The following is a 13,859-nucleotide window of genomic DNA, read 5'->3' as shown; positions in this document are numbered from 1 at the left end:
TAAATACACTATCAGGGCTACTGATATTGGTATATTGTAATCCAACTATGTCATGTGTCTTCCTATATGGACTATTGTTATTTGCAGTCTATGTTTCTCTTCTGGCCTAGACTTAGATTTTGGAATTTCTGTTCCTTAGAAAGTACAAGAGAAGCATATTTAGATTAATCCCATTTCTGCATTACTGCTGCACCTCTTTAAGGTTGCCACTTCAAGGGACTACATCATGATGTCCTGTTTCTAATGACCTCCCAATCATCCTGCAGAAGATTCTTCAAATGGGGATCAACATGTCCTTATTTAAGGTACCCCTTAAATTTCTACTATTAAGTGGATGCCAGGATATGATTCAGCCCATTGAAAGTCCGTGTATCACATACTGGCATCTGTTTGAAAGTCCAGTTTTCTATTGTTCACATGGCCAGGATACTGATTACTGTTTACGACTCATGAATTCAAACAATTGCCTTTATAAAACAATCATTTAACAGCATAGAGTTCAATCATTGAGCTAATTTACTCATTCAATCTTCAACTGGTCTTCATTTCTGGTCTCTATGAGAGCCTTGCAACAGGACATTATACACCCACTTTGAAACTGCCATTCATCAACTAAGCAGGTTGTTGTTGTCAATAGGGAGCTCTTCAAAGGGCATTGCCCATGTGACAGTGGGATCCAGTAATTCCTGAGGTTATTGCAAACTACATGCTAGAAAATACCAGACTGCCTGCTCTTGAATAGGATCATCATCTCATTGCACTTCCCTGGTAATATTTTCCTCTATAAAACCATCTTTTTATGTTATTTGAAAGTCTTCTGAGCACTTCCTCATTAGACTGTTTCTTTAATTTGCCCAACACTTTATACGTGTTGCAAGTTTTATAATTATTTTATGGTCTTCAGTCAAAGAAGCTGTCTCAACACTAAGGCAAGAAAACCTAGTAATTATCTTTCCAATGGCACATATTGTTTCATGGCATCCAGGAGAGCCCTGGACCACAATTTCCAGCTAATGCTGAAGAGGGGCATGTGTGGCTTTTCTGCCATGTCCTCAGTCTGCCCAAGAACATGTCGCAAGTACTTCTAAAATCAGAATTTGGATCACAAAGTCCCAATGTGTAGAGAGAAAGAGGTTTTTACAATTCAGAAATGGCCACATTTAGTGAAATTTCTTATTTAAACAGACCACTATTTATCATTTTTAAACTGATGCATTATAATTTTCCATATTTACAATGTAGAACCGTTATCTTGATACATGCACAAAATCAGCAATGACCAAATTTTTAAATGGCATACTGGTAATTGGTATATTAGTCATTTCCGACATATATGACATATTTGTTTCAAGAACTTTCCAAATCTAAACTTCTAGTTATTATGAAATCTATAATAAATTATTCATACCTATAACCTCCCTCCTATACAATCAAACTTTAGAACCTATTCTTTCTAACTATTTTTTACACATTAACTAACTCATTTATTTGCTTAATGTCTTTCATAGCCTATAATAATCTGTCATTCTATTCTCTACCTATATGAGATCAACTTTGTTATTTCTCACATATGAATAAAATCAACCAATCCTTGCGCTTTATATTTCCTGGCAAATTTCACTTAATATAATGTCTCTTAAATGAAGTATTTTGCCTCAGTAATATTTAGTTAACTTATTGAGGCTTTTATACAACTGAAATAATCACTCACCTAAAATTTACCATAACTGTTACCAAAATTCTTTGGGTACATATGATTGTACTTTGAAAACAGCTCAATGAACAAAGATGTCTTGAAGATGTCTTATGACACAAATATTGTTCTCTTTTCTATCTTCTGTCTTTATTAACTCTGGATTGTCTTCCAATTAATAAAAATATTCTGATAAATTACCTTGGGGATCAACATTAATGACCAAAAAATCAGTAATGCACTCATTTAACTTTATAAATATAAGGAAAGAAGTTGAAACAAATAAAAAACTTGCTGAATAAAATTATATACATTTTGTACATTCCTAATTTTCAAAACACTTAAATTACTTTTTATTTTTTACTCTTATTGCTCAGTTCAAACATAGACTATTATAACTGGGTTTACAGAAAAGTTATCATAAAAGATTCATAAAATAATAACCTACACTGGAGATAATATAATATAGTAAAATTTGTTCAAGCAGGCAGGAGTAAGACAAATGAGTCCTCTGCCATGAGTAACTTTGGGGAATAAGTAACTTTGGGGGAATAAGTTACTTAGTCTTTGTAGGATTCTGTATCTTCTTCTGGGAATAATGCATTTTCCAAATTACATAAGATTATTTACATGATGAAATCAGAATTATTAACACTGAATAAATATGCCTATTAACCCTAGTTTTGGAAGGATGGGGTGGGGGGCATAGAGAGAAGCTCCAAAAGTCAAAACATGATTGTAGCCATAGAGCAAAGTACAGTTGCTTTCCAAGTATCTGAGAGGTTTCTTATTGTTTTCGTTGTGTCATAGGTTTGTGATGAAGAAATAAACAATCCCCAGTTCCTGCCCTAGAGAAGCTCATTGCATAGAAAAAGGAACAAGGCAGATATACATGCCACAGTACAGTAATGAGACAACATAAATCACAAGCAACCAAGTCCAAAGGTAAGATACCTAATTTGAAATTTTATATTCTGTTTCATCTGCTTCTTGCTGTTGTGATTAACCATCTCTATATGTGTTAAATTCAACGCCCTAGGGGTAACACGGGCTATCATGTCAGAAATTACCTTCCAACTTTTCTTCCAATAGTGTCTGTTAACCAAGTATTGGTGAACATCCCATATGAAGATTCTACTAAAAGTAAAGCTACCCCAACTGCAATGCTTGGATGATATAATTTTCTGGGTCTAAGAAAGAGGAAGAAAGTGTGTGTTTTGTAATGTCTATAAATCATTAAATGCTGGGACACTGGTAACTGAAAGACAAACTATTTCTGCCAACTGAAAGGAAAAAATGAAGACATTGTAGGAAAACAATTTATTACAGTAAAACTATTCTGATTTTTTAATTTAGTTTTTATCAATATCCACACAAAAAGTAAAATTAATAATAATAATAATAATAATAATAATAAAGATCTTGAGTATAAACATTACCAAAATTTAGGTGTTCCATGTTTACTTATTTGGAGGTGTATCCTAAATAGGTGATCACCACTGTAACCTAATTTTTTACTGCTTTATGTTCAAATTAAACTTTTCATAGGCAGTGTTATGATAATTCTTAACTAATATTTTTTACAAAATCAGGGAGCATAATTTGAAGAACACATTTGATTCTTTAGCAGAAAAAGCTCTAATTTCATAAAAACATATTAGAGAATTTTAAAAATAAGCACAGCTTATGAAACACAGACAATATAAATATAACAGTCATAGTTTCTCAGCGATTTTAGCCACATTATAAAAATGTACTTACCACAAATTCTTTTAAAGAACAATAATTGCAGAGAGAAAAACCGTAGCTGCTATCAGAATCTTCAAACTATTAGTAATTAATAATTAGAATTTACCTCACTGTTCTGCTTCTCATCTTCAAACAATCATTATCTATATTTTTACCTATGCATTCAATTGCAAGAATACTGTTTTCAGTGTGGGGGGAAACACATACACACACGTATGTATATCTATAACATATATATAGATATATATGGCTGCTGGATCACAGCATTCATATGATAAGTAGCACCAGCATTTTTGAGTCCCGCAAATATTTCTGGCAGGTGAGATCTAACAGAGAGCAGATATTCCCACTCAAAAAGTGCTTCACAACCTGAGATCAGAAGAAAAAACAATGCTTGTACTATGAAAATCATAATTCTGCCCACTCTTCTTTCCATCACGTGACAAATTAATATTGATGACAACTCATTTGTCATCACAGCCATTTTGAAAGAGTACTTTGAATTTTCATACTAACAATAAATCAAGTGACCATTACAGATTTTTAACTTCAGACCCCTTAGGTACATAGTTTAATGCCATCACATCTGTTTGTTTTTTTAAAAAAGGGTTTATTTTAAAAACTGTCTTTTGAATATATATATACATATATAAACTATGTCAATTCAATTGTTAAATAAATTAACATACAAGGTGTTTTTAAGAGGGAAACTCTTCTCTTTACATAGATCTCACGAGACAAATAAAGATCTGACTTTTTAAGTGGTGAGTTTAGCTAGAAACTCCTACAATATGCTAGAAAATATACTCGCCCAGAGAAAAACGTAAACAAATAGAATTTCACATTCATCAATTAAAGATCTGTACAGAATGCTGTTGTTAACTGTATTATTAATCCTTGGTTTTCTCTTGAAATAAGCTGAATTTTGTTATCATTTGCTCATTTACTTATATTAACTCACAGGCTGAGTTTCTGTTCTGTGTAAGATTTGAACATTGATACTTACTTTGTTGGACTTATGTGGACATTTAGAAGTAATAAAATTCACTCAAAAGTTTTCTTCTCACATTATGATTTTTAAAGCCATACCTCTCTTAGAATTTAACTAAAATAACATTAAGTAACTTCGAGGTTTGGGTTATAAAAATCATTTTAATGCATACATTTTAAATATAAAATTTGGACCATTAAATTTGGCTTCTGGATACTCTGAGGTTTCAGTATTTTTTAACATGGGATTCAATAAAACCCACTTTGGTTACCAACACCAAGTATAGGGGAGCACTTAAGAAATACATATATTTTTTTAAATTTAATATTGTCTGACATAAACGGTTTTAAATATATACCTGATGGCTACAAAATGTTAAACTAGTTGATCAAAAGCAAACAAGCAAGAAAACTATGAGTTAATTCCTTCTAAATAAAAAGTAGACTTTCAAAGTAAACTATTATTCCTGAAGAAAAACAGCTTTATAATGTAAAAATTCACTAGTTGTTGCTTTCTCTCTGTAATATATTGCATTCAAACAGTCTACTATCTTTTTAAGGTTCTTTACACAGCCAATAGCTGGTGCTACAAGCAGATCAAAACCAGGATTGATGGTAATGGAAGAGGAACAGACTGGAAGAGCTGGCTCTTCTGGCAGTTTTTTTATTTCTTAGACATTACAGTTAAACTTTTGATGCAGGGAAGACAACAACATCAATTAATTCTTGGTAAGTTAGAAAAATAAATCACAGGTTATTAGTAGAAAACATATGTTATGAAAAATATGTCTTTTCAAGAAAATACTTTTATGTTTATTTGACATAATTAAAATCTCATTATATTTTGAAACAATTTTGAATTTTGTTCCAAAGAAAAATCATTTCAAAAAACCCAAGAACAGTCAATGCATGTAATTCATTTCCAAAATTAGATTATTGAAGAAATTTCTAAAACCTGAGAACTTTACCCAAAACAAAAATAGCATTCTAAATTAACCTACTTTTTAAATTACATATTAATGGAAATAAATTTATTTTCAATAATAATAAGGCATTAAAGTTACATTATTTTTCTTGAATTACGAAACATATAAAGAAAAACATCAAAAATATGATATAAAAAATAAGTTTTTGCAAGATGAATGTTTTCTCAATTAGAAATTCAATCAAGGGACAGGTGTGGTGGCTCACATCTGTAATTCCAGCACTTTTGGAGGCCAAGGCAGGCAGCATACTTGAAGCCAAGAGCTTGAGACAGGCCTGGCCAATATGGTGAAACCCCATCAGGTGTAGCGGTGCTCACCTGTAATCTAAGCTAATCAAGAAGTTCAGGCAGAATAATCACTTGAAACCGGGAAGCAGGGGGTTGCAGTGTGCCAAGATTGCACTGCTGTACTCCAGCCAAAGAGACAGTGTGAGATTCCTTTATAAAAATAAAAGAAAATAAATTAAATCAATTAAGAATTGAGATATATTACTTATTTACTTTTCAATGTAGTTTCTGGCAACTTCGAATTGCAATTACAAAAATGTCTTAAATAAAGTGTGGCACACATTTCAAAGTTACTGTAACCTCACCTCTACAAAAAGAAAGCTTTTTTTTTATTTAATGTATTCAATTTCATTTTATATTAAGTTCCAGGGTACATATGCAGGGCATACTGGTTTATTTCATAGGTAAACTTTTCCGTGATTGTTCACTGCAACTATTAACCCATCACCGAGGTTATTCAGCCCCACATAAATAAGCTATTTATTCTGAAGGTCTTTTTTTCTCTGCCTCTGGACAGACCAAGTCGAAAGCTGTTCTGTGTGTCTTTAATGTTCAGTGTGAACGTTTAATGATTGTGAACATGGAGTGCTTGTTTTTTCGTTTCTCTGTTAGTTTTCTGAGGATGATGGTTTCCAGCTTCATCCATCTCCCTTCAGAGAACATGATTTCTTTCATTTTAGTGGCTGCATATTATTTCATGATGTATATGTGCCATGCTTTCTTTATCTAGTCTGTTACTGATGGGCATTTGAGTTAATTCAATGTATTTGCTATTGTGATTAGTGCTGTAATAAACATACACATCCATGTATACTTAAAATAGAATGACTTATTTTGAAGGGGAGCTATGTACCCAGTAATGAAATTGCTGAGTCCAGTGGTATTTCTGGTTCTAAATATCTGATGAATTACTACACACTTTTCCACAATGTCCATACTGATTTACACTCCTAACAACAGTGTAAAAGCATTGCTATGTCTGCACTAACCCACTACCATCTGTTGTTTCCTGGCTTTTTAGTAATCTCCATTTTGTCTGGCCTCAGATGATATCTCATTGTGATTCTGGTTTGCATTTCCCTAACAATTAGTGATGCCGACCATTTTGAGTTAAATGTCTTCTGAAATGAAAGACACATAACTCTTTTCTTACCCCAGTGTGGCCTCTTTATATCTGCTAATCAGCACTCATTTCCCGGTGTTTTAACACTACCCTGCAAAAGAAAAAGTATTATAGGCTCAACTTATTAGATAGAGAAAATGACAGGATATTAGAACAGCAGAAAGTTAGAGAAAAATGAGATCTCATATAAAATTTCCACAAGTTTTTTCTTTTTTTTTTTTGACAGAGTTTCTCTGTTTTCATGCAAACTGTAGTGCAATGGTGCAATCTTGGCTCACTGCAACCTCAGCCTCCCCGGATCAAGCAATTCTCCTGCCTCAGCCTCCTCAGTAGCTGAGATTACAGGTGTCAGCCACCACACCCAGCTAATTTTTTCTATCATTGTCACATCAAATCTACAGCTAAGCATATGAAGAGATAATAAGTTATCAGAAAAATGAAAAATCAAGCCACAATGAGATACAAGTTTATATTGAATAGAATGGACTGTAATGAGAAATAAATGACAGATGTTTTCAAATATATGGAAAAATTGGGAAACTCATCCAATTGCTATCGGGAACATGAAGTGAGGTTGCTCCTTTAGAAAACAGTCCAGTAGTTTCCCAAATAATTGGATGTACATTCAGCATATTTCCCAAAAATTAAGGTATATTTATGCCAATTTGTATAGGAATGTTTGTAGTAGCATTATTCACAATATAAATATTTCCATCAACTCCTGATGTGGAGGTGGACCTAGGCCAACACTACCCTTGCAGTGCATTCGCATCATACATTCCCTTACCATATATCTGATACAATTGATGCAAATTCATTTATTTCATAGTGAAACCACCAAGATAAAGAATTTGGACAAAATACTGGAACTTTTTTCCATCAGTATGCTTGGTTTAAAAATAGGACAGAATATTAAACCTGTTTCAGAAATCTCAAGCTTAGGAAATGCCGGCATTTTAAAGAAAGGACACTCTGCCTTGGAAGGAGGCATTATCTTTATCTTTCATGGGTGTTTGTTATACATAGCCCCATTGAGGATAATCTACAGCACAAGGCTGTAAGTCACAAAGAGCCTCATATTGTATGAGTCCATTTATATGAAGTGTCTGTAGTAGGCAAATCCATAGTGACGGAAAATGTCTTATTGGATACCAAGGGCTTTAGGAAATGGGGAAGCTGGGATTTAATGGTAATGGGTGCAGTGGTATTTTTTTATTTATTTCAGGTGATGGAAATCTGTATTTAAAAAGTGGTGATATTTGTACACCTTTATGAATACCCAGAATATCATGGAATGTGTACTTTAAAATGGCTAATATGATAGTTTGTGCGTTATCTCTCAATTAAAAATGTGTTGAAACCTCAGTGAAAGTTTTGAGCACTACAAGCCTTAGCAGGAATGTAGATGCAAGTTAAACACACAGATATGTGTTTAAAAGCAACTTAAAAGTACGAAATGGGCCCCAGTCACATAAAGTGGAAGGGAATTGAACAACTGAAAAACAATGTGAGGTAAACTCAAAATTGGAATTAAATATGAAAGAATGCTTTCTCCAGTCTACATAGCAAAAAGTGGAGGAAAAGGCCATGTAGTTGGATGATGCTTTCCTTATAAATAATGCCTCTAACTATGCCCCTAAATGTTAAATCATTTTTTATAAGAAAGCGAAACTCAGAATCTGGAAAGAAGTCAGGAATATCAGCATTAAATTATAAATTGTTCAGCATACACCTGAAGAATTTAATTTACCTTTTAATTCTTGTTATACATAAATAGAATCACACAGAATTATCTAGTTTGTTAATAAAACCAGCAGGATAAATAATTGCTTAACCTTTTATTGCTTCAATCTCCACAGTTTAATAAGAAGACCAAATAATAAGTCTGTTGCAGAAATTATGTCTATGAATCTTTTAGAATAGAGATCATGCCAGGCATGGTTAATCACACCTATAATTGAAAGAATACAGGGGGTCCAAGGCGGGTGGACAACCTGAGGTCAGGAGTTTGAGACCAGCCTGGCCAGCATGGTGAAATCCCGTCTGTACTAAAAATGTCAAAAAAAAAAAAACATCAAAAAAGAACTGCCAGTTGGGCTGGCAGTCCCCTGTGTTCCCAGCTACTCAGGATGTTGACACAGGAGAATTGCTTGAACTTGAGAGGCAGAGGTTGCAGTTAACTGAGATCCTGTCACTCCAGCTTGAGCAACAGAGCAAGACTTAATCACACCCCACTGCAGGCCAAAAATAGGTAAATAAATAAATAAATAAATAAATAAATAAATAAATAAATAAGAAAAAAGGATCAAATTAACTGCAAATATATCAGGTATTATTTACCCCAGTTCACCTGACAAAAGACAAAAATCCACATACTGATGGAACTTATATTTTGGCTTTAGTGGAAAGTAGTGACAATATCTAGTGATTTAATTTTAATTAAGAAGGACAAGGATGGTGGGTTTATTTACGGTGGAAGGTAGAAGATAACTAAAGGGGATGAGTGAATCAGATGAGAAATGTGGATGACCTGTATCTGGGTGACGCAGGAGAAATAGGGAAAAGTGGTTAGATTGTGAACCTATTTTAAAAAGAAAACATGCAGAATTTGAGGATTAATAGAAAAGATGAGATGAAAATAAAAGCATCAAGGATGACCTTACAGTTTTAGGCCTTTGCAACAGGACGTGATTACTATCAGGTGAAATGGGAAACAATTCGGGAAGGTTATTTGGAAAAAGCATTGTTTCAGGAAGTCAGGAACCCCGAACAGAGGGACCTGCTGAAGCCATGGCAGATGAACATAAATTGTGAAGAGTTCATGGACATTTATTAGTTCCCCAAATTAACACTTTTATAATTTATTATGCCTGTCTTTACTGCAATCTCTGAACATAAATTGTGAAGATTTCATGGACACTTATCAATTCCCCAATCAATACCCTTGTGATTTCCTATACCTGTCTTTATTTTAATCTATTAATCCTGTCATTTAAGTAAGCTGAGGAGGATGTATGTCACCTCAGGACCCTGTGATGATTGCGTTAACTGTGCAAATTGTTTGTAGAGCATGTGTGTTTGAACAATGTGAAATCTGGGCACCTTGAAAAAAGAAGAGGATAACAGCAATGTTCAGGGAACAGGGGAGATAACAAACTCTGACTGCCAGTGAGCCAGGCAGAACACAGCCATATTTCTCTTCATTCAAAAGCAAATGGGAGATATATTACTGAATTCTTTTTCTCAGCAAGGAACATCCCTGAGAAAGAGAATGTGCCCCTGAGGAGAGGCCTCTGAAATGGCCGCTTTGGTGATGGCTGTCTTTTATGGTCATAGCTGAGGGAAGAAATAAGACCCGGTCTCCCATAGCACTCCCAGGCTTATTAGGACGAGGAAATTCCTGCCTAATAAATTTTGGTCAGACCGGTTGTCTGCTCTCAAACCCTGTCTCCTGACAAGATGTTATCAATGACAATGTGTGCACAAAACTTCACTTGCAATTTAAATTTTGCCCCGGTCTTGTGGTCCTGTGATCTCACCCTGCCTCCATTTGCCTTGTGATATCTTATTACCTTATGAAGCATGTGATCTCTGTGACTCAAACCCTATTCATACACTCCCTCTCCTTTTGAAAATAACTGTTAAAAATTTGCTGGCTTTGAAGCTTCTGGGGCATCACGGAACCTGCCAACATGTGAGGTCTCCCCCGGACACCCAGGTTTAAAATTTCTCTCTTTTGTACCCTTTCCCTTTATTTCTCAAAGAGGCCAACACTTAGGGAAAATAGAAAAGAACCTACGTGAAATATCAGGGGCTGAATTTCCTCCAATAGAGCATCAGAATTCAGTGTGTAGCCTTGAGATCAAATTGCCCGTTAAACATGAGTACATGTAATAGAGTCATATATGATTTGGGGTTTGGTAAGAGACTGGCTGGAATAACAATTTGGGAATCATAGTACCATGCAGAAATTGATTGTACAGGAAGACATAACTGAGAGATTGACAGTAAATTCATCAGGGATAGTTCAAGGAAGAGGGAGACTAAGAAATAACTCATATTTGGCCAGGCCTGGTGGCTCATGCCTCCAGTGGCTGCACTTTGGGAGCCTGAGGCAGGCAGACAGCTTGATCCCAGGAACTCAAGACCAGCCTGGGATAATGGAAAGGCCCTGTTTCTACCAAAATTAGCTAGTCTGGGTGACCTGTAGTCACAGTCACCCAGGAGGATGAGGTGGAAAGATCACTTGAGCCCAGGAAGTTGAGGCTGCAGTGAATTCTTGATTGCACCACTGAACTCCAGCCTGGACAACAGAGGCAGACCCTGTCTCAATAGACACACGAACAACAAAGACAAGAATTTTTGTTTTAAAACTATTATATTTGGCAAAAAGGAAGTTGATTATTTTAAATATAGTACATTTGATAGATTGTTGGGGATGAAAGCCTGAATGGTAAAGGTAAGTGGAATTTTGAAATGAGAGCATATTATCAATGGTAAAAATATTCATCTGAAATTCAAGGTAACATTTTAAATTTAGCAGTTAGGGTGTCACTGATGACCTTTGAGAAAGGACCGTGACTTCACTGATGTGGGATAAAACCTGAGACAGAATAAGAACTGATCAAAATCAAATAGCTAATAGAAATTCTGTGTGGAAATTAAAAGCAGACGAAAACATCAGTAACAAAAGAGACAGTTTTTGTTGTGGATCATAAAATATGGAGTTTGTTTTACATTTGCGATAAGGAAATCAGGGTAGTGAAGAAGAGAATAAAATAAATTACATGAAAGAGGAAAAGATCAATCATATTAATGGGTTGGGTCCAGGAGGATGTATTTTAAAATATGATAAAGGTTTTTTCTTTGTGTTTGAATAAATAAGTGCATGTAGATAAAGGTGTGATTTAGATCAGAGTAACCAACCACAGAAGTTGAGGAATTTAAAATTCTGCAGCATAAAACTTAACAAATTGGAGGAAAGCATATTTATGTTAAGTTATGAGAATCAAAGCAATGCAAAGAAAGTTCAGGAAATGAACATCTTATCAAATAAAATAAAATAGGTAACTTCTTGATTCTTCCCTCCCTCTTTTTAAAACTACTACTTCAGTTTTCCCCACTGATATATTTTAACCAATGACCAACATCTTCTGGGGAAATATTATGCTTTCTCTCTTGTAATTTGCATTAGATTCTTACATATTTCATGTGTTTTTATTATATTAACAACATTTTTAATCAGAAAAAGGTTTCTGTCTAAATTCGGTTTCAATATTTACTGTTGCCTTTTATCTTCCTTCTTATTCATGTTTGTTGAATATTGTTTCCCACAAATAATGGCTAATTGACCTTCACAATATATTAGTAATTTATCTGGCTGTTTGACTAGAAAGCACCTAATATGAGCTATTTGGCCTCCCCCCAACCCCCCAAGAAAAGAGATTTTAGATCTTCAATAACCATGCAAACTCTGGATTTCACATCTATATAAATTGAAACTTTACTTGATTCATAACTTCATAGCATTAAATCAAGCCAAGAAACAGTTTTTTATATGCAAAATGGCCATCGTCTAACAATAAGTGGAACTTACAGGGCTCACTGTTTTTTATTTCTTTCCTAATCAGAAATATCTGCTAGATATTTTTCTTAGTGTCATCATCATTAGAATTGGCTTAGACCTTGTGCTGTTTTGTTTTAGTCAATGTCAGCATCAGACAGTGGCTGAAGAGCACACACACACACACACAAACACACAAACTTATGAGAAATATACACCTTGTTTCATACTACTTGAAGACAGGACTATCATCTTGGCGTTAAGAGGTAGTTAAGGCCTCATAGAAGTTTTATTGTCTATTTCCTTAAAACACTGTTTGCTAAAGAAATAATATGTCAAGTTATTTGACATATTGACTAACTTATGACAAATGCTTTAATTGACTAAATTATGTCAAGTGGTGGTTCAATATTTCCTAAACCAGACATAGATTTTTTTATCGTGATTAGTGATCCTTATTTACCTTTTTAGATTTTCCGTGAATACTGAATTATACAGAATCTTGTTTTCTTCTGTTTGGATCTGATACCAAATTATACTGGATGCACTGACAGAAGAGTACGAATTAGCAGCATGCTGAGAATGGACACAGCGTTTGAAGAGACTAATAAATAAAGTACAGCTTTCCTTTCAGCATTCTCTGCTCAACTGTTCTCTGCTGTGGTGAGGCCACCTATGCTTTGTATAGGTTTGAAATTAATTGAAAAGCTATTGACATATTCTAATGTTATTTGCTATGAGCTTTATTATTGTGGAGGTAATTTTGGATCAAATTACCCTAAAGTTTTTCAGTAAAGACTTGAGGTGAAATAAAGCTGCATTACTTTTGTTGGCGCATTCTTCCTTTAGGACATATCATGAGGTAAGTGACACAAATATCTCTCGTTCTCTGTTTCCAACAAGTAAATAAATATGAATAGTTCACTAACAAGATTAAGATGTGATCATCATTCTTCTAATAGAAATGTGTCCCTGTTTGTTTTTCACAATTCTGAATTATTTTCTATGCAATTTTTCAGTCTTAAGGTAATGATAGTTTTTAAAAAATGCAAATGCGATTAAGTCGGTCATTTTTTCTGTTTCTTTTAATATGATTCTCATTCAGCCTAATGAGCATTCTAAATAGTTATGAGGAATAGAAATATAACCTTAAATTAATGAATGAAAGTAGAGTGAGTGAGAAAAGACTATGGTTCAGAAATAATCTTGTAGATTTTATTTGTCAACTGATGTGATTTAATATGTTAGTGGTAGATTTTCTAGACTCCTTAAATTTGTAGCTGTGACTTTGAATATCAAAACATAGCTAAGCAACTCATTTCCATATGACTTCTATCTGTTACTATAGTGATTTACATGAGTACTATAAATTTTGTAAGAACTAATTTCATTCAGATCTGCACTGACAGTTCCAAGAGAGTAAAATGTATAAAAATTATATACATTTTATAGATTTAGGAACCAATGG

General features: G+C 34.0%; 1 long non-coding RNA gene and 1 pseudogene across 1 annotated transcript; one reads left to right on the top strand and one right to left on the bottom strand.

Moving 5' to 3' along the window:
- The first annotated feature begins 201 nt into the window (after positions 1-201).
- TTTY3B (testis expressed transcript, Y-linked 3B) lies at positions 202-5,097 on the top strand. Its single transcript, NR_002176.1, has 3 exons — positions 202-305; positions 2,504-2,638; positions 4,993-5,097. It is a non-coding gene; the product is annotated as a testis expressed transcript, Y-linked 3B (long non-coding RNA).
- On the bottom strand, positions 1,722-5,161 carry USP9YP11 (USP9Y pseudogene 11; annotated as a pseudogene).

This window comes from Homo sapiens, chromosome Y (genome assembly GCF_000001405.40).
Source record: "Homo sapiens chromosome Y, GRCh38.p14 Primary Assembly".
Taxonomy (NCBI): Eukaryota; Metazoa; Chordata; class Mammalia; order Primates; family Hominidae; genus Homo; species Homo sapiens.
This window is presented reverse-complemented; position numbering and strand designations above follow the sequence as displayed.